Consider the following 19,908-nt stretch of genomic DNA (forward strand, 5'->3'; position numbering starts at 1 on the left):
TTTTAGTTGTCCTTTCAGTGAAGGTCTGTTGGTAGTAAGTTCTTTTGGTCCTTGTGTGTGTTAAAATATCTCTATTATGCACACTCTACTGACAGTTTAGCTGGGTATGAAATTCAAAGTTCAAATTATTTTCCCTCAGTATTCTGAAGTTGTTATTTCATTGTTTTTTTGGCAATGATTTGTGCTAAAAATAAGCATACTGTTATTCTGATTGTCATTCCTTTGTAGATAATCTGTCTTTACCTCCTGGTAGCTTTTAAGAGGATTCTCTTTATTTCCAATATTTTGTCATTTCACTGCAATCTTCTAAATGTACTTTCTTTTCTTTTTTTTTTTTTATATTTGTGCAGTCTGTCTCAGCATTTAGTGGTTTCAACCTGACAATTTGTGCCCTTTTTAAATGCTGAAAAATTCTTAGCTATTCTATCTTCAAATATTGCTGTCTTCACTCTATTATTTCCTTCTAGGAAACCCTCATTTGTGTAGGCTAAAATATCTCAGTCTATCCTCCATGACATCAACTGATTACCTTTTTGTTCCATACTCTAAGAGTTGTCTTCAGTTCCATCTTCCAATTTACAAATTCTCTCTTCAAATATGTCCAGCCTAGAAGTTTTAAATTTCAATGACTATCTTTTTCACATCTACCTGTTCTTGTTTCACTGCCTCCTGATCTTACTTCACTGATACCAGTTCATCTGTTATATCTTTAAGCATTTTAAGCATACTTTTTATTTTAATGTCTTTTAGATGGGCCTACTGTTTATATTTCTTGATATAAATTCTCCTGTTTGTTGGATTTGTAGATTTTCCTTGATAGGGCTGAACCTCCTCAAACACTTTGTAATTTATGTTTGAGAGCTTATCTTGGGAGTTTTTTCCTTGTGCCCTTTCTTATTAAGTGATTTCTGTGGTGCTGTGTTCCATCCTAAGCAGGTACAGGGATCTGAGCTGGGCCCCACATTAGGGCTCAGAGGTGTTGCCCCATTCAGATAGCATGATTCCAGATCATGCACTACCTTATAGTGAGGTCTCATATGTACAGATGTTTCCCTTCCTCCATGGCCAAGACAAGCATCTTATTTCTGGTTATAACCCTATAGTAACTGTATTATTGCTCCCAAATAATCACTGCCCCTTCCTATAGGAGGACTGTATTTTCCCATCCCAATAAGGTCAGGCTAGGTTATATGACTAGCTTTAAGAGTCTCATGCTTCCATGATTTTTTCCTCTGACCCAGAATGGCAACATACCAGATAAGGGCATATCCTTCATCCTGGATTCTAAAATGAAGAGGATGTGGCACAGAGTTGTGGCCAACCTGTAAAAGACATGTAACATGAACAAGAAATAGACTTTTGTAGTTGTAAGGCATTAAGACTTGGAAGTTGTTAGCTACTACTGCATAACTTAGTCCAAAGTCTGACATAAACTTTAAGCCATCTATATAAAAATACGGTTTAGGCACTCCAGCCTGGGTGACAGAGTAGACTCTGTCTCAAAACAAAACAAAACAAAACAAAACAAAAAACCCTACTTGGCCATAAAAAATTTGCAGCAACATGGATAAACCTGAAAGACATTATGTTAAGTGAAATAAGCCAGGCATGGAAAGGCAAATATTGCATGATCTTACTCATATGTGGAATCTATAACACTATCCTCATAGAAGTAGAGAGTAGAGGCCGGGCGCAGTGGCTCATGGCTGTAATCTGAGTACTTTGGGAGGCCGATGTGGGTGGATCGTTTGAGGTCAGGAGTTCGAGGCTAGGCTGGCCAACATGGTGAAACTCCATCTCCACTAAAAGTACAAAAATTAGCTGGGTGTGGTGGCGTGCATCTGTAATCCCAGCTGATTGGGATCAGCTGGGATTGGGAGGCTGAGGCACGAGAGTCACTAGAACCTGGGAGGTGAAGGTTGCAGTGAGCTGAGATCATGCCACTGCCCTCCAGCCTGGAGACAAAGGAAGGCAGGAGGAATAGTGAGAGGTTAATAAATGAGTACAAAGCTACAGATAGGAGAAATATGTTCTGGTGTTCTACTGCATAGCAAGATGACTAGAGTTAACAATAATATATTGTATATTTCAAAATAACTAGAAACTAGGTACAGTGGTGCATGCCTGTAGTTCCAGCTACTTGGGAGGCTGGGCAGGAAGATTGCTTGTGCCCAGAAGTTCAAGGTCAGCCTGAGCAACACAACAAGATGCGGTCTAAAACAAACAAAACACAACCTAAAGATCATGAAAAACACAATGGCAAAGACAAAATAACCAGATTTTGAATGTGCACATCACAGAGAAATAATAGACATTTAGGCTGGGCACGGTGGCTCACGCCTGTAATCCCAGCACTTTGGGAGGCCGAGGCAGGTGGATCGCTTGAGGCCAGGAGTTCAAAACCAGCCTGGTCACCATCTCTACTAAAAATACAAAAAAATTAGCTGGGTGCATTGGCTCATGCCTGTAATCCCAGCTACTCAGGAGGCCAAAGTGGGAGAATTGCTTGAACCCAGTAGGCAGACGTTGCAGCGAGCCGAGATTGCGCCACTGCACTCCAGCCTGGGTGACAGAGTGAGTCCCCTGTCTCAAAAAAAAAAAAAAGAAAAAAGAAATGATAGATGTTTAAGGTGACAGATATGTTAACTGCTCTGATTTGATCACTATACAATGCATACATGAATCAAAACATCATGTCATACCCCACAAATATATTAATTATATAAAAACATAAATTCGTCCTGGCACGGTGGCTCATGCCTGTAATCCCAGCACTTTGGGAGGCTGAGGTGGGTGGATCACTTGTGGTCAAGAGTTGGAGACCAGCCTGGCCAACATGGTGAAACCCTACTAAAAATACAAAAATTAACCAGGTGTGATGGTGGGTGCCTGTAATCCCAGCTGCCTGGGAGGCTGAGGCAAGAGAATCGCTTGAACCTGGGCAGTGGAGGTTGCAGTGAGCTGAGGTTGCACCACTGCTCTCCGGCCTGGGCAACAGAGCAAGACTCCATCTCAAAAAATAAAAAAATAATTTTTTTTGCATTTAAAAAATATTTGCATTTTTATCATAGTATTTATCATTTGTAGGTGTGTGGTGGGAGGAAGATTTGGAGACAGGGTCTCATTCTGTCACCTGGGTTGGAGTGCAGCTGCACAATTATGGCTTACTGGGGCCTTGACCTCCCAGGCTCAAGTGATCCTCCTGCCTCAGCCTCCCAAGTTGCTGGCACCACAGGCACGCACTAACACACTTGGCTAATTTTTGTATTTTTTCTAGAGACAGGGGTTTCACTATGTTGCCCAGGCTGGTCTTGAAATCCTGGGCTCAAGTGATCTGCCGATCTCAGCCTCCTAAAGTGCTGGGACTACAGGCGTGAGCCACCATTTGTGTTTACAGAATAGTATAGAAAATTACGTGCTCATTGTTTTTCTTATTTTGTGTAGTAAACTATACTGACACAAAGTCAGGCGTGGTGGCTCACACCTGTAATCCTAGCACTTTGGGAGGCCAAGGCAGGCAGATCATGAGGTCAGGAGTTTGAGACCAGCCTGGCCAGCATGGTGAAACCCTGTCTCTGCTAAAAAATTCAAAAATTAACCGGGCTTGGTGGCGTGCGCCTGTAGTCCCAGCTACTTGGGAGGCTGAGGCAGGAGAATTGCTTGAATCCAGGAGGTGCGGGTTGCAGTGAGCTGAGATCGCGCCACTGCACTCCAGCCTGGGTGACAGAGTGAGACTCCATCTCAAAAAATAAAAATAAAAAATAAAAATAAATAAATAAATAAATAAAATATATATATACTGACACAAAATCACCATTTTAACTGTTTTTAAGTGAACAATTAAGTGGCATTAAGTATATTCACAATGTTGTTTAACCATCACCACTATCTATTTCCATAACTCTTTAATTATTCCAAACAGAAACTCTATAGCCATCATACAATAATAACTCCTCATAAGTGGAATCATACAATGTTTGTCCTTTTACATGTCTTATTTCACATATTACTATGTTTTCAAGGTTCACCCATGTTGTAGCATGTAGAATTTCATTCCATTTTAAGGTTAATATTCCATTGCATATATAGACCACATTTTGTTTATCCATTCATCTGTTTATGGACAGCTGGGTTGTTTTCCACATTTCAGCTACTGTCACTGTGCTTTCTTGATCTAGAAGTACCCAAAAACATACTATTAGAGAAAAAATACCGCAAATAAACCACAACCAGTGGATGCCTGTTGAGTTCAATCTGGAATGAGGAAAACTTTTACTCTTCATTTTGTATATTTCTTTATTATTTAAATTTGTTGCAACAATTTCTATGTAATTTTTAAAACTAGTAAAGAGTTTTTAAAATAAATGCTTCTTTTTGATCAGAAGAGAGATGCTCAAGAGAGATAATGAATCATTGCAAATGTGTGGGTTTAGGGTTTTTTGTGGTTAAAAACATGTATCATAAATTTTACCATCTTAACTATTTTGAAGTATGCACACAAATGTGATTTTTAAAATTATTAGGAAAAACCTAGGGAGGCTCCACTGGTAGCCAGCCAGCCATAGAATCACCATAAATGAAGAGTAGTTATTAAAAATTAAAATCACACCACAGGAAGCTGTATATGACCAAATGAGAATCTTGCACATAATATTCACTTTTTTCTTCCTTTAATTACCTTAGTCTTCTGTATCAGATTTTATGGCTCATAGTGATTAATGATTATTAGTAATAACAGTCCTTTTTGAACAAAGCTGAAGCTTATCCCAGCACTGCATTCTCTGAGTCTAAATATGATTAAGAATGTACTCAAATTCAGCCTCATTTCAGTAGTAAAATGCTACCCTTGTGTAACTGCTCTTGGTTTTTAACTGAAAAATGCTACTGTGCGTTTTAGCTGTTCAGACCGTGTAATGTTCCTGACAGGCCTGTGGAAATTCGCATGTGCTGCTATTTCCCAGGTGGTCACAATAAAGCTCAGATGGTATCTCTTTTTTTTTTTTTTTTTTTTTTTTTTTTTTTTTTGAGATAGAGTCTCACTCTGTGGCACCCAGGCTGGAGTGCAGTGGTGCAATCTTGGCTCACTGCAACCTCTGCCTCCTGGGTTCAAGCGATTCTCCTGCCTCAGCCTCCCAAGTAGCTGGGATTACAGGCACCTGCCACCATGCCCGGCCAATTTTTTGTATTTTTAGTTAAAGAGATGGGGTTTCGCCATGTTGGTCAGGCTGGTCTCGAACTCCTGACCCCAGGTGATCTCCCCGCCTCGGCCTCCCAAAGTGCTGGGATTACAGGCGTATCCCACCTGTAATCCACCACGCCCAGCCCTCAGATGGTATTTCTTAATATCCTTGCAAAAGGCTGGACTTAAGGAAGTGGAAACTGAATCAAAGGTTTGCTAAACCAGAACTGGAAAGCCCAACCTTAGCACTCAGCTACTCAATACAGCTTGAACTTTCAGCCTTCTGATTAAAAGTAAGATCATCTACTTATTTCATGTTCTGGCTCTGTAGACATAACTTCAACAGAATAAAATAACTATCCAAAACTAACAAACAGCAGCAATGAGGAGACAACAGGTCATGTGCATCAGGGTTAAATCGCAGAACTGATTTCAAGGCCAGCACTACTAGCAAGAGAGCAGAGACTGCCGGTCAGTCTGTAACCAGAGATTTCCACACTACTATCTGCATAATCTACATAAAATGAGGACCCAGCTGGGCACGGTGGCTCATGCCTGTAATCCCAGCACTTTGGGAGGCTGAGGCGGGCAGATCACCTGAGGTCAGGAGCTCGAGGCCAGCCTGGCCAACATGGTGAAAACCCTATCTCTACTAAAAATACAAAAATTAGCCGGGCATGGTGGCGGGCCCCTATAATCCCAACTACTCAGGAGGCTGAGGCAGGAGAATCGCTTGAACCCGGGAAGCAGAGGTTGCAATGAGCTGAGATCACACCATTGAACTCCAGTCTGGGTGACGAGTGAAAAGAGCGAAACTCCGTCTCAAAAAATAAAAAATAAAAATAAAATAAAAGAGGACTCAGTGTTAGAACATCTATGTTTGAATTGCAGCTGTGCTACAAAGAGCTAGTGTGCTTTTGGACAAGTTACTTAACTACCCTGAGACAGTTTCTTCATCTGTAAGAGGGGGTTAATAATAACTACCTTACAGAATTAATGCAAAGACTATGCAGTATCACATGAGTGGAAGTGCACTAGAAAGGCTAGTCATCATTGCCCTTCCTCAACCTCCTTGGCACTTGATTCAGATTCCAACAGGGGGCCGGGTGAGATGGCTCATGTCTGTAATCCCAGCACTTTGGGAGGCCGAGGCAGGTGGATCACCTGAAGTCAGGAGTTTCAGACCAGCCTGACCAACACGATGAAACCCCATCTCTACTAAAAATACATAATTAGCCGGACGTGGTGGCACATGCCTGTAATCCCAGCTACTCGGGAGGCTGAGGCAGGGAGAATCACTTGAACTCAGGAGGCGGAGGTTGCAGTGAGCCGAGATCATGCCATTGCACTCCAGACTGGGTAACAAGAGCAAAACTCTGTCTCAAAAGAAAAAAAAAGAAAAAAGAAACCAACAGGGCCAGCACTCTCAGTGACAAATCATTCTGACCTCTCCAACAACCTATCAGTTTAGACATATTGACCATTTAAAAAAATTGAATTGACCAATTTCTTCAATCTAAGTTCCAGGTTGTATCCTTAGCCCAGACCACCCATTGCTCAACTGTATGTTGTTAGAAACAAAAAGGGCAGCTTTATGAGTAAGAATGACTCACCATAAAACGCTACCACACAAAAATGACTCAATGAGAGTAGAACACAAATCATGAAACAATAGTATAAACTGATCTCATTTTTGAGATGTTTTATCTTGATATACAGACATATTCACAGGGAAAAAGCACAAAAGGAAATATGCCAAAATGTTAAAAATGATTACTTGAATTTATGTGTTCATTCGACATTTACTGAGCAACAATTATGTGCTGGCCTCTGTGCTAAGTGTTGGGGATACAGTAATTAATCACACATATAAGGCTGCTGTTCTGGTAAAGCATTTATAATTCAGAAGTGACAATAATAAAGAAAGATCAACAGGATGAGAGAAGATGAACCTAATCTATTATAGGGTTCAGTCAACAAGTCCCCAAGAAAGGAACGTTTAAACTAAGACCTAAAGGATAATCAGGAGTGAGTCAAACAGCAGAGCAGGATCGTGGAAATAGCATGACAGATTACTTTTATTTTCTTCTTTTTTATTATCTATAATTTATTTATTTTTTCTTAATGAACAAGAGTTCTTATTGTTCTGTTGGTAATATCTTCCTACTCTAAGGCCTAATATGTTTTTCTGATCATATCAAAATTTTCAGTCAATTTCTCAGTGTTTATTTGGGGCCAGCTGTGGGCCCCATACCCTCCTAGTCACTAGGAGTTGCAAATGGAGAACAGAGCAAAATACCTCAGAATCTTAGAATTGGGGAAAAAACCCAGAGAAAACATCAACAAATTATCTTAGTCAAGAAACAGACCCAGAGAGATGAAGCATTTTATCCAGGACCACAGCAGAAGAGCAGTCAGCCCCACACAGTGGACAAATGCTTTAACAAGTTTGTTTTCTGTTTCCTCTTTAAACTACCAATCCAATATGCGTTTTTTTAATCTGGTTGGTTAGTAACTAAAAGTGATTGTAACATATAGTCATTGGTAACCAAGATGTTATTACAAGAGACACAGTGAGAAGCCATTGTTAATCTGTTGCATTAAGAAAATAATGTAATGAAGTAAAAGCCAGAGTTTATGAGGGTGTGGTAAAACCAGAAAACAATTTAATGAGGTAAAAGCCAATGTTTATGAGGGTGTGGTAAAACCGACAGTATCAAACATTACCAATTGCTACGGTTTGAATTTGTCCCCCAAAGTTTATGTGTTGGAAAGTTAATCCTCAGTGTAACAGTGTTGAGAGGTGGGACCTTTAAGGGGTGATTAGGACATGAGGGATCTGCCCTCATGCATGGATTAATGCTGTTATCTTGAGAGTAGTTTTCTAATAAAAGGATGAGCTTGGCTTCTCTTCCCTCTCTCTCTCTTGCCCATGCCTTCTGCCATGTTATGATACAGCTAGAAGGCCCTCACCAGAGGGCCTTCAATCTTGGACTTCCCAGCTTCCAGAGTGGTGAGGCAAATAAGCTTCTATTGTTCACAGATTACCCTGTCCGTGGTATTCTGTTATAGCAAGAAAGAATGAACTAAGACACTGACAATACTCCTAATCAGTACATCCCAACTTAAAATCAGTGTGGTAATGTATTTCAAAAGCCATAAAAATGATAGGACTCTTTGGTCCATTTCTTTAGACTCTGTTATCTAAAGAAATAGATAACTTCTGGTATACCTAAAGGCAGACAATTAGAAGTAATGGCTATGAGGACTCCATAGTAGGAGGGAAGAGCTCAGGGTTTAATATGGATGATGTTTATATTTCCACCATATTTATAGCCATAGTTATGAAGAAGCCTGTAACCTGCATCTGCACCCTAAGCCACCAGAATGGCTTTCTGCAAAGCCCCCATAAGCGCCTAGTTGCTGAAACCAGTGAACATCTGACTGTGAGGAGCCATTTAACACCCCACCTCCTTGTTGGGCCCTTCAACCCCCTTTCCTCCTCTTATCCAGTTTGGTGGTCTCCAGGGACCAAGCCTAGGTTACTTCCTCCACTCCCTCAACACTCTTACAGAGGGACTTTTCACATCTTTTTCCAAACTAGCTTCCACTTCCATCTTACAAGCCAAGGATTCCAAAATCCTGACCATTTGGACCACTCTAGACAGAACCTCTCCCCAGTGCACAGAGCCAACAGTCGGCTTGATATTTCCATTTGGATACTTCCCAGGCTCCTCCAATCATTAAATCTACAATGGAACTCTTTCCCACCAAAAGCTGCTCTCTTTCTATCTCTCTCTCATTATTGCTACGGAAACCACTCCCATTGCTTCCTCTTACTTGAATGATGACCACAGTAATTCCCTAATGGGTCCCACTGTCCCCAGTCTCTCTCCACCCTTGACACAGTTGACAGAGTAATCCTCCTTAAGCACAAACCCTGTTTTTCCTGACTTAGGTCCTTCAGTGGCTCTCTGCCTGCAGGGTGAAGCCCACCTTCTTGGCTGGCACATGAGATTTTTCCTAATCTGACCTCTGCCCACCCAACAGCACTCCTCACACACTCTCTTCTCTCTGCACTTACCCAACCAAGTGCAACTGCCAAAACATGCCACTTTCTCTTGCTTTGGTACATGCTGAACCCTATAAGTGTCACAGATCGTCAAGGGTCTGTCTCCCTGAACTGAATTTAAGAATCACTCTTCTAGGAAGCCTTCCTTGACTCCTGAACTGTCTTCTGCGATCTCACAGCATCTATTTCATAATCTTTACCCTACCTGTAAACGTCTTCAATGTTTTATTACTGGTCACTTTCCCCCAAGAGCTCTTTATGAATGGGGAGTGTACCTTCCACATATGTGGCTAGAGCCTCGCACAGTCGGAAATGAGGTGAAAGGAAAAAAAAAAAAAAAGCAGATGATGACAGTAACTTATTACAATGACAGGGAAGTATGTGCTTATTTTTTCCTCCCCATTTTCCACATTGTCTAGTATGTGGATTATACTATTTTGATACATTTTAAAAATCAATTCATTTTGAAGATATGTCCAATCTCTCCAAGCTAGCTCCTGTAAAATAACTTACTGCCCAAGTAAAGTCAACTTCAAGATCCTCTTTCCCCAGAGCCTTTAGGCTCAAGACCCCCACCTCCAGCTTTGCAAATCCAGGATTCTACTTTCCACAAATCCTTCAGGATTCTACTTTCTGCAAAGTAAAACGGCTTATTTCAACATTTTCAGCAGACAGAAGGACCACCCACACACCAAAAAATTCCTTGGCCTTGAAAAGGTTACATTGCTCTTGTAGCTGAGTGCCAAAACTCATTTTTGTCCAAACATTCGTCAGAACCTCACTGTATTCACAGCCTGAACACAAAAAAATGAGGTGCTCTGACAACCTTGCCACAGATTTACAGGGGACAGAGATGATGGGACTTCTGACTGGTATATCCATCACCTTGTCAGCTTAAGACATCAATGAAAGATGGGGGTTCGGGATAGACTATGAAAATTCCCCCTCCGTCCCTTTAAAAAAAAAAAAAAAACCCAAAACATTAATTATCTTCTCAGGTATCCAAAAGTTCAACCATGCACACTGGCTCTTAATTCTTTTAAATTTGTGAAAATAATCCAAACACATAATGTTCAGTCTGACATTTGCTATTATTTTTCCCCAAGAGAAAACAAAAACCTGATTAGTTCCAAAAATAAAATATAAAGAAGAACTCAAATGAGAAGCAAACCCTGTGGCTTAGAAACCATTGCTCTGATTAATAGCACATAAGTGTTACCTGACGAATGGGTTCCTGTCTTAAATGCAATTATCACAAATTTCTTGTGATTCCCCACTGTTTTTATGGTTTATGCCCAGCTCTCAAAGCAACAACTTTAATAGCAATAAATCAAAGGAAACCTCTTCTCGGGACATGGGCCGACTGCTTCACATCTCAGTCAGCAGAGACGCCAGAGGGAAATGCAGGACCCCGGCTCCACAGCTATCCAGGAAGGTATCTACTTCTCCGCCCTCAGAAGTCCTTGCATCCACCCCTGAAAGGGTGATTTTCACAGTTAAGTCCATCGACAGGGCCTGCTGCGACAATCAGGACAAGGGCCTCTGTCCTCAGGAAACCCCCTCCTGGCGCTGCGGGCCTGCTTCCTGGGGATGCAACCGCCATGCTGTTGGCGGGGCCACACAAGGTGCTTCCGGCAGGGTGGAAGCACCACCGGGTCAAGGGGTCTGGGGGCAGCTGCTCCACCGGTGGGCCACTGTCAACGCAAGAATATCAAATCAGCCAGCCCGGCCAGCATGGCAAAAACCCGACTCTACTAAAAAAAAAAAAAAAATTAGCGGGGCGTGGTGGCGCGCCTGTAGTCCAAGCTATTGGAGAGGCTGAGGCACGAGAATCGCTTGAACCCGGGAGACAGAGGCTGCAGTGAACTAAGGTCCCGCCACTGCACTCCAGCCTGGGCGACAGAGCAAGACTCCGTCTCAAAAAAAAAAAAAAAAAAAATCAAATCAGGAATTATTTCCTCCAGGAAGTGGGGATGCGGGGTGTAGAGTGTGGGCAGAAGAGAAATAGAGGGATGATGGGGAGTGGGAGGAGGATCATGTGGTCTTTTTACTAGGAGAACTGAAAGCGGCTGGCAGGCATCTTTGAAACAGAGAACATACTATAAACAAACAGCAGCATTTAGAAGGTATAATTTCCAAGATTTTTGATTCAACTCAACATGTACTACGTGCCTATAGGTACCCATCATCATGACCTGGAAACTTGCCTCGTGTTGATTAATGATATTCTTACCACGGAGAAGAAGAGTAATTAAAAGGGAGAAAAACAGAATATGAAAGCGGGTCAAAGATCAAATGACTGATTCAAGGCTACCTGACCAACAGAGACATTGTCACAGCCAGGAGACACCTTTGTGCTTCATTCACCAGTAGTTTATTGCAAAGTGAAGTTTTGGTTCAGAACAAAAGGGAAGTAAGTCCACTAAGAATGAACTACTGTACACAAATTGCTGAAGTTGACGCAATAGATAGTAGCATGTATTTAGTATCAGCTGTAGGTGGTTCTCAAAGTCAAAATTCATTAACTATTCAAATGTTCAAGCTGTAGAGACTTTTTTCAGATGTGCATACAACATACTTATAACAAAGTTAATTTTTATAAAATATTATTTCCTTAAGAACTGAAGATGCTAAAAAGCTCCAACCATAAATTAATCAAATATTTGATGCCCATTTAAAGATACTATTAAAGATCTGACAAATACTAAATAACACACCTGAATGAGGAAAGTTATGACCCAAATGACTGCATACTTTAATAATCCCATATTAAAATAGAAAATGTCACACAAATTGAGCTGATTTGAAATATTTTTATTAGAAAATAAAAGCTATGTCCATTTAAACCATCATTCCTAAAACGCCTACCAAACAACATAATTATTACCTTAAATCCCAAATGATAATACAATCTTTTCTATCCACATTATCTTCCCCATTGGTTGATACAGTACATCTGATCCTTCCATGACATATACAATGGCCATTAAGGATGACAGTTAACAGTAGTTATGTATATACAGTGAAAATAGTACAACTGACCACACACACAATTGAATACTCTCATTGAGGATAGGGTCAATAAAAATAATGGTTAAAACCAATACATAATTTTATCTGTTCAATCACTTGCTGTCTTTAGCAGTAAAAGTCAAACAACACACACATATTATTTTTTTCCATAAAGTCTTCACATGTTGAAAATACTTTTTAATCCAGGTGCAGATAATTAACAATGAAAAGACATTTCATCTTCTTTCTTACATCCAGGGACTTTATCAGACTTAAATTCACTAGGTGCATGGAAAGAACAGTAACTGAAAAGGCAATTTGACCATAAACTGTTTGCAAGACAGAAGTGTTCTATTTTAAGGCAAGTATCTTTATCACACACATACATAGCAATTTATCCACTGATGAATTTTATCAAATGACAGTATCAACCAAGAAAGTGAGGTATAACTTTACTCAATGTAAGTACAAATGTCAGAAAATGTAAAGACATTCTCAATGTACTTAATATATTTTACCCATAACTAGAGAACTCTTCTCAAAGTTCTTATATGCTCAGAAATACCCGAGATTCTCAATTCTAGAAAAAATAACTAGAAATTAAATACTCTAATATCTTTGCATAAGGCTCTCCATATATAAGGCTACCTTTGATATAAGGCTACTTCGATGTATTTTCTGAAAATAGCAAAAATGTGCACCAAAATTCAAGGTATTCTGAAACTAAAGAAAGAGGTCTTGGTCTTGCGAGGGATAGTGAGGTGGTTAGTTTATTGATCAAACTTAAGCTAAAAATCAAATTTAAAATGCACAAAATAAAAATGTTTCCTGACAGGGAGTGGTGGCTCATGCCTGTAATCCCAGCACTTTGGGAGGCTGAGGCAGGTGGATTTGCTTGAGCCCAGGAGTTTGAGACCACCCTGGGCAACATGGCAAAACCCCATCTCTATTAAAAAATGCAAAAATTAGCTGGGTGTCATGGCATGTGCCTGTAGTCCCAGCTACTTGGGAGGCTGAGGTGGGAGCATCACTTGAGCCCAGGAGGTTGAGGCTGCAGTGAGCCATTATCTCGCCACTGGACTCAAGCCTGGCATCAGAGTGAGACCCTGTCTCAAAAAAAAAAAAAAATTATTTCAACATAAAACTGAACTATCATTGTATAAAAATGGTTGAATGCATAAGATATTTTTTAGTGCAAAACAGACATACATTTATCTTTACATAAATAATTTAAATAGAATATAATCCATAACTTGGTATTCATAATATATTTTAAAAATCTACATTCTGTTACCTTTACAAAAGTAAATCTGTTCTTTACTTTCAAGTTAAAAACGGCCTAAAAGTTTATCTTTGGAGATTTCAAGTCAATGGCTTTCTAAAATGAAGGATAATACAAATCTAAGTCATAGGTCATTTGGTACATTAACATGTAAGCCATCAGTTTGGGGCCCTAAAAGCAAAAAATAATTAACTACTACAAAAAGTGGAAAATAATGTACTCCAGATTTATGCTCTAGTCCAAAGACTTATAGTGTCTATGTATTTTTAATTATTAAATAGTCTGATGCAATGACATTCAGTGCTAACTGAATTCATGTTCAAAATATTTTCCTTAAAATAGAAAGTATTCATCATCCCAAATATAAACTAATAACAAGGTAGATTTTTTTTTTTTTAAGTTTAGCCTGGGCATGTTGGCTCACATCTGTAATCCCAGCACTTTGGGAGGCCGAGGCAGGTGGATCATTTGAGGTCAGGACTTCGAGACCAGCCTGGCCAACATGGTGAAACCCCATCTCCATTAAAAATACAAAAATTAGCCAGACAATAGTGGTGCACGCCTATTATCCCAGCTACTCAGGAGGCTGAGGCAGGAGAATCCCCTGAGCCTGGGAGGCAGAGGTTGCGGTGAGCCAAGATTGTGCCACTGCACTCCAGTTGGGGTGAGAGAGACCCGGTCTCGGGAAAAAAAAAAAAAAAAAAAGAAAAGAAAAAGTTTGACAATTACTGCACTCATTTCCTCTACCAAACTCTCAGTGACATTAAGAGAAAAAAACTCTAATTATTTTCACCTAATAATTTAATCAAGCACTCTAGAAAAATGTTCTTCTAATGGGAAGTTTGGTAGGAATTTCTTACTATATTTCCAAATTAGATCAAAAGAAGGGAAAAAAGGGGGATTCAAAAAGACTAGCTAGCTTAATAAATAATAACAATAAACATTAAAACAGCTGCATACTAAGTAATCAGAAAGATCCACAACTCAAATACCACTTCCACAGTGATGTCAGGTGTCACCTGGTTGTGGGGCCTCCTGCTGATTCCTACAGAAACAGGCACGACGCTGAGTGTAGTGGCTTGTGCCTGTAATCCCAGCACTTTGGGAAGCTGAGGTGGGCAGATCACTTGAGGTCAGGAGTTTGAGACCAGCCTGGTCAACATGGTGAAGCCCCATCTCTACTAAAAATACAAAAATCAACCAGGTGTAGTGGTGCACTCTTGTAATCCCAGCTACTTGGGAGGCTGAGGGAGGAGGATCACTTGAACCCAGGAGGGGGAGGTTGCGGTGAGCCAAGATCATGCCACTGCACTCCAGCCTGGGTGACAGAGCAAGACTCCATCTCAAAAACAAAAAAACAAAAACAAACAAACAAAAAAAAAACAGGCAAGAAGCACCCTCAAGTGCCAATCTCACAGAGTTGCTCCTTTGCAAAAATGTCCTAACAGTTGGGGAAAGAATGTGGTACAAGGGGAGAGGAACTTTAAGTGTAGATACCAAGGTAGATGCTCCTTTATTTGAAGAGATCTAGAAATCTGCTTATTTAGTAATTAGCTGAACATGCCAATGACTTCAATTCAAACACTCACCCTTCTAGAGACTGCCACAAATCAGCCATGGCCTCTGCCCACAGAATGATTTATTTTTGTTATAACTGTGGCTAATCCCAACAGCAATTTGAGCTTAGAGTAAAATTCATTTTCTACTCTTGAGTATACCAGACAGGTCAATCACTGCGACATCTAAGTACTTGCTACTTCTTTCTCATCATGTCGAATCAGCAAAATGTCATTAACATGGTGGGCCAGGGTGTGACACTGCACAAAGTCTCTGTGGACCATAGGATGGCACTTCCAACACTTCCTTCTAAAAGAAACTGCCATGCCCACATCAATCACCTCACCCAAAAAGGCTGCTTCCCCCAGGGCAGGGAGCCTAGCTTTTAAAACCTCTCCCCAACCCAGGTGATGGTAAGACTCAGCTAATGCTACTCTGGAATCTGAAGCTGGAAAGTATGAAGAGAATCAACCAGTGGACCTCGAGTAGAGAAGATACGGGAAAAGAAGAAGAGAAACAATGCGGGTGAGAGTGATGCCAGACCCTGAGAGGCAGGAGGAAAGAGAACAGAGCCACCAGACTCAGCCAGGCAGCTGCTGTTGTGTCCTTACAATAATCACCCCATTACCTCCAGTGACCTGTGTTTTCCTGTAACTAATGAGTCTATAAATACAGAGAGAAAGATATATTTTTGAGAGACTGCTGGCTACAATTTTTTTCTCTAAGCAAATTTTATTAAGGTAACCAACTAGGGGGGCGGACATGGTAGCTCATGCCTGTAATTCCAGCAATTTGGGTGGCCAAGGCAGGCAGATCACTTGAGCTCAGGAGTTCAAGACCAGCCTGGGCAACACAGTGAGACCTCATCTCTACAAAAAATAAATAAAATTAGCTGAGCATCATGGTGCACGCCTGCAGTCCTAGCTGCTTGGGAGGCTGAAGTGGGAGGATTGCTTGAGCCCAGGAGGTTGACACTACAGTCAGCTGTGATTGTGCCACTGCACCCAGGCCTGGGCAACACAGACTGTCTTAAAAATAAATAAATAAATAAATAAATAAATAAATAAATAAATAAATAAATACGCTAACCAACTAGGATCAGAGGTTTATTTTCAAAATACTTAAAAATATTAAGCAGGCCAGGTAAGGTGGCTCATGCCCGTAATCCCAGCACTTTGAGATGCCAAGGCAGGAAGATCACTTGGGCCCGGGAGGTTTGAGACCAGCCTGGGCAACATAGTTAGCCCTTGTCTGTACAAAAATGTTAAAAATTAGCTAGGTGTGGTGGCACACACCTGTAGTCCCAGCTACCTGGGAAGCTGAGGTGGGAGTGGGAGGATCACTTGAGCCCAGATGGTCGAGGCTACAATGAGACATCATGCTGCTGCACTCTAGCCTGGGCCACCTTATGAAATTCTGTTTCAAAACAAAACAAAACAAACAAACAAAAAAACAAACCAAAGAAAGTATTAAGCAAAAATAAAAGACCGATTTTTAGGCCAGGAGTGGTGGCTCACACATGTAATCCCAGAACTTTGGGAGGCTGAGGTGGGCAGATCGCTTGAGGCCAGGAGTTTGAGACCAGCCTGACCAACATGGTGAAACCCTGTCTCTACTAAAATTACAAAAATTAGCTGGGTGTACACGCACCTGTAATCCTAACTGCTCAGGAGGCTAAGACATGAAAATCACTTGAACCCAGGAGGCAGAGGTTGCAGTGAGCCAAGATCATGCCACTGCACTCCAGCCTGGGCAGACAAAGCGAGACCCTGTCTCCAAAAAAAAAAAAAAAATTATAAAACATTTATACATTTTTTATGAAAAAGTTGCTATAATTTTCATTACTAGGAGTTGTAGCCATTATTCAAGCAGCCAATGACTAATAATTGGGGATCCTGCTATTCCTAAGAATAGCTGTTATGAATAGTACTGAATACATTTATTTTACAGTTATGGCAAAGTACATCTCTCTTTGAAAGCTTTTTTTTTTCCCTGAGCATTTTAAATAAATATGTAACATTAAAAATGTAGTGTGCCCAAAATCTTGAATCATAACTCCGTTAGGTTTGATATACACATTTGCATTGAAGATTAATATTTGCCTAGAACATTCACAAGATTTATTTAAAATGTAGCCATTAACCAAAGGCCTTTGGGGCATATGTACAAAATTAGAGAACTGTAAGTATTCACTCAAAAACAACATTAGAAATATTACTCATGAGAAAATGCTAGTGGTGCTCTATCTAAGAAAAGTTAGTCAAAACCGGGAAACTCGCAAGTGAGCTTCCAACCATTTGAGGAAATGTTGCTTGCAGATAATATTAAGCTTTTCCTCCACTGATCTTAGTAACATAATTCCCTAAAGGAATTTCACAATGATTACACTCATGATGATGAATTACATTAAAAAATCTGGGCTTAGGGCAGGGCATAGTGGCTTCTGCCTTTAACCCCAACACTTCGGGAGGCCGACGTGGGCGGATCACCTGAGGTCAGGAGTTCGAGACCAGCCTGGCCAACATGGCGAAACCCCATCACTAATAAAAATACAAAAAATGAGCCAGGCATGGTGGTGCATGCCTGTAATCCCAGCTACTCGGGAGGCTGAGGCAGGAGAATCGCTTGAACCCAGGAGGCAGAGGTTGCAGTGAGCCAAGATAATGCCACTGCACTCCAGCCTGGGTGACAGAGCAAGACTCTATCAAAAAAAAAAAAAAAAAAATCTGGGCTTACTGTAAAGGACCCCAGAATGGGTCTTCAAGGGCTTTTTGCAGGTACAAGGATCTCTCAGGGTGTCAGGGCAAGGCCCGTTGATGGTCATCTCTGTATACCCCACAGTGCCCAGCACAGAAGTGACACTTGTTAGGCAAATGCTCCTGTTTTGTGCACACAAAGGATTAAAATTCAACAACAACAACAAGAAAACCCAAAACTTTTCCTAGGGCAATGCTGAAGGTTAATTAACCATCAAGTCCTGTTTTTGGAATACCTCCTCCACCCCAGTAATTCAGTGGTACTTGTGCTCACTGTAAGTACTATGGAAAGATAGGATTAAACACTGTTGGGAAATCCAGTTCCCGGAAATTCAGAGCTGTTTCTCAGCTCTTCTGCCAAAATATCCCCAAGATAGGTAAAGGAAGAGAACTGAAAGAGCTCTAACATTGACGATTCAAGGACACAGAGGCACCTTGTATCTACAACCTCCAGCATTCTCCCAGGAACCTGAAATAACTGAGTTTGAGAAGCATGAGGTCAGGTAAAAAAGAGGTATTACAATAAACCAACCAACAGAAGCAAGTAATCTTTTATCTCTCATGTCTGTGTGTCTCTATATCTTTAGGCAAGTGAACATAAACTCAAATTAACTTGGGTTAATGAAGAGAATCAGTTTAATGAACTTAGAAACCATTAAATATATACCAATTGAAGAACTGTTTAAAAACCATCAACAAGTACTTCTATGGCTTCGACTTGGTAAATTTCTTGCAGAGATTTTAAAACTTCAACAAAATGTATTTCCTGATATAGACAGTACAACAACTTAACTCACGAAGTCTGTCCATTTCTTCATTAAAACACAGAGTCAATATGCTTTTATGATAAAAAAAAAAAAAACAAAAAAACAAAAAAAAAACACTCAACAAACCAGAATAGAAGGATAGTTCCTCAACCAAGTAAAGGGAATCTATGGAAAAACCCACAACTAACATCATACTTAGCAATGAAGGACTGCAATTTTTCCCCCAAGATCAGGAATAAGGCCAGGATGTCCACTTCTATTTGACATTGTACTGTAAGTTCTAACTGGGGCAATTAGATAAGAGAAAGACGTAAGATACCCAGATTGAAAAGAAAGAAGTAAAATTATCTCCAGTTGCAGATGGCATGATCTTATATATAGAAAACCTAAAGAATCCTATTATAGCTAATAAAGCATTCAACAAGTATGATGGTTAATTTTAGGTGTCAACTTGACTGGATTAAGGAATAGCTAGAGAACAGGTAAATTATTACTGCTGGGTGTGTCTGTGAGGGTGTTTCCAGAAACTGGTGTGTGAGTCGGTGGGCTGAGTCGGGGAAGATCTACCATCAATGTGGGCAGGCACCAACCAGTTGGCTGAAGGGCCAGGGGTGGTGGCTCATGCCTGTAATTTCAGCATTTTGGGAGGCTGAGGGGGGCATATCACTTGAGGTCAGGAGTTCAAGACCAGCCTGGACAAAATGGTGAAATCCCGTCTCTACTAAAAATACAAAAATTAGCCAGGCGTGGTAGCGCACCCCTGTAATCCCAGCTACTTGAGAGGCTGAGGCAGGAGAATTGCTTGAACCCGAGAGGTGGGGGTGCAGTGAGCTGTGATGGTGCCACTGCACTCCAGCCTGGGTGACAGAACAAAACTCTGTCTCAAAACAAAACAAAACAAAACAAAAAAACAATTGGCTGAAGGACCAGACGCAACAAAAAAGACAGAGAAAAGGTAATTTCTTCTCTTTTCCTTAAAGCTGGGGACACTCTTCTCCTACCCTGGGACATCAGTATTCCAGGCTCTCTGGCCTTTGGACTGCAGTAACAAAAATAAACTACTTTGGGAATAAGTTAAACCAAACAAATGCAAGACTTGTACACTGAAAACTATAAAACATTGTTGAAAGAAATTAAAGAAGACATAAGTGAATCGAAAGGCACCTCATATTCATAGATTAGAAGACTTAATATGAATAAGATGCTACCCCCTAATTTATCTACAGATTCAATGTATTCACTGTCAAAATTCCAACTAAATTTTTTTGCAGAAATGGACACAC

General features: G+C 40.6%; 1 protein-coding gene across 1 annotated transcript in view; it reads right to left on the minus strand.

Moving 5' to 3' along the window:
• The window catches only part of KCNG3 (potassium voltage-gated channel modifier subfamily G member 3), a 105,631-nt gene that overhangs the window by 25,877 nt on the left and 59,846 nt on the right, over positions 1-19,908 (minus strand). Inside the window, exon 3 of the transcript XR_007069666.1 lies at positions 1,255-1,322. The gene's annotated coding sequence lies outside the window, so the exon portion shown is untranslated. The remainder of the gene's footprint in view (positions 1-1,254; positions 1,323-19,908) is intronic.

This window comes from Homo sapiens, chromosome 2, assembly GCF_000001405.40.
Source record: "Homo sapiens chromosome 2, GRCh38.p14 Primary Assembly".
Taxonomy (NCBI): domain Eukaryota; kingdom Metazoa; phylum Chordata; class Mammalia; order Primates; family Hominidae; genus Homo; species Homo sapiens.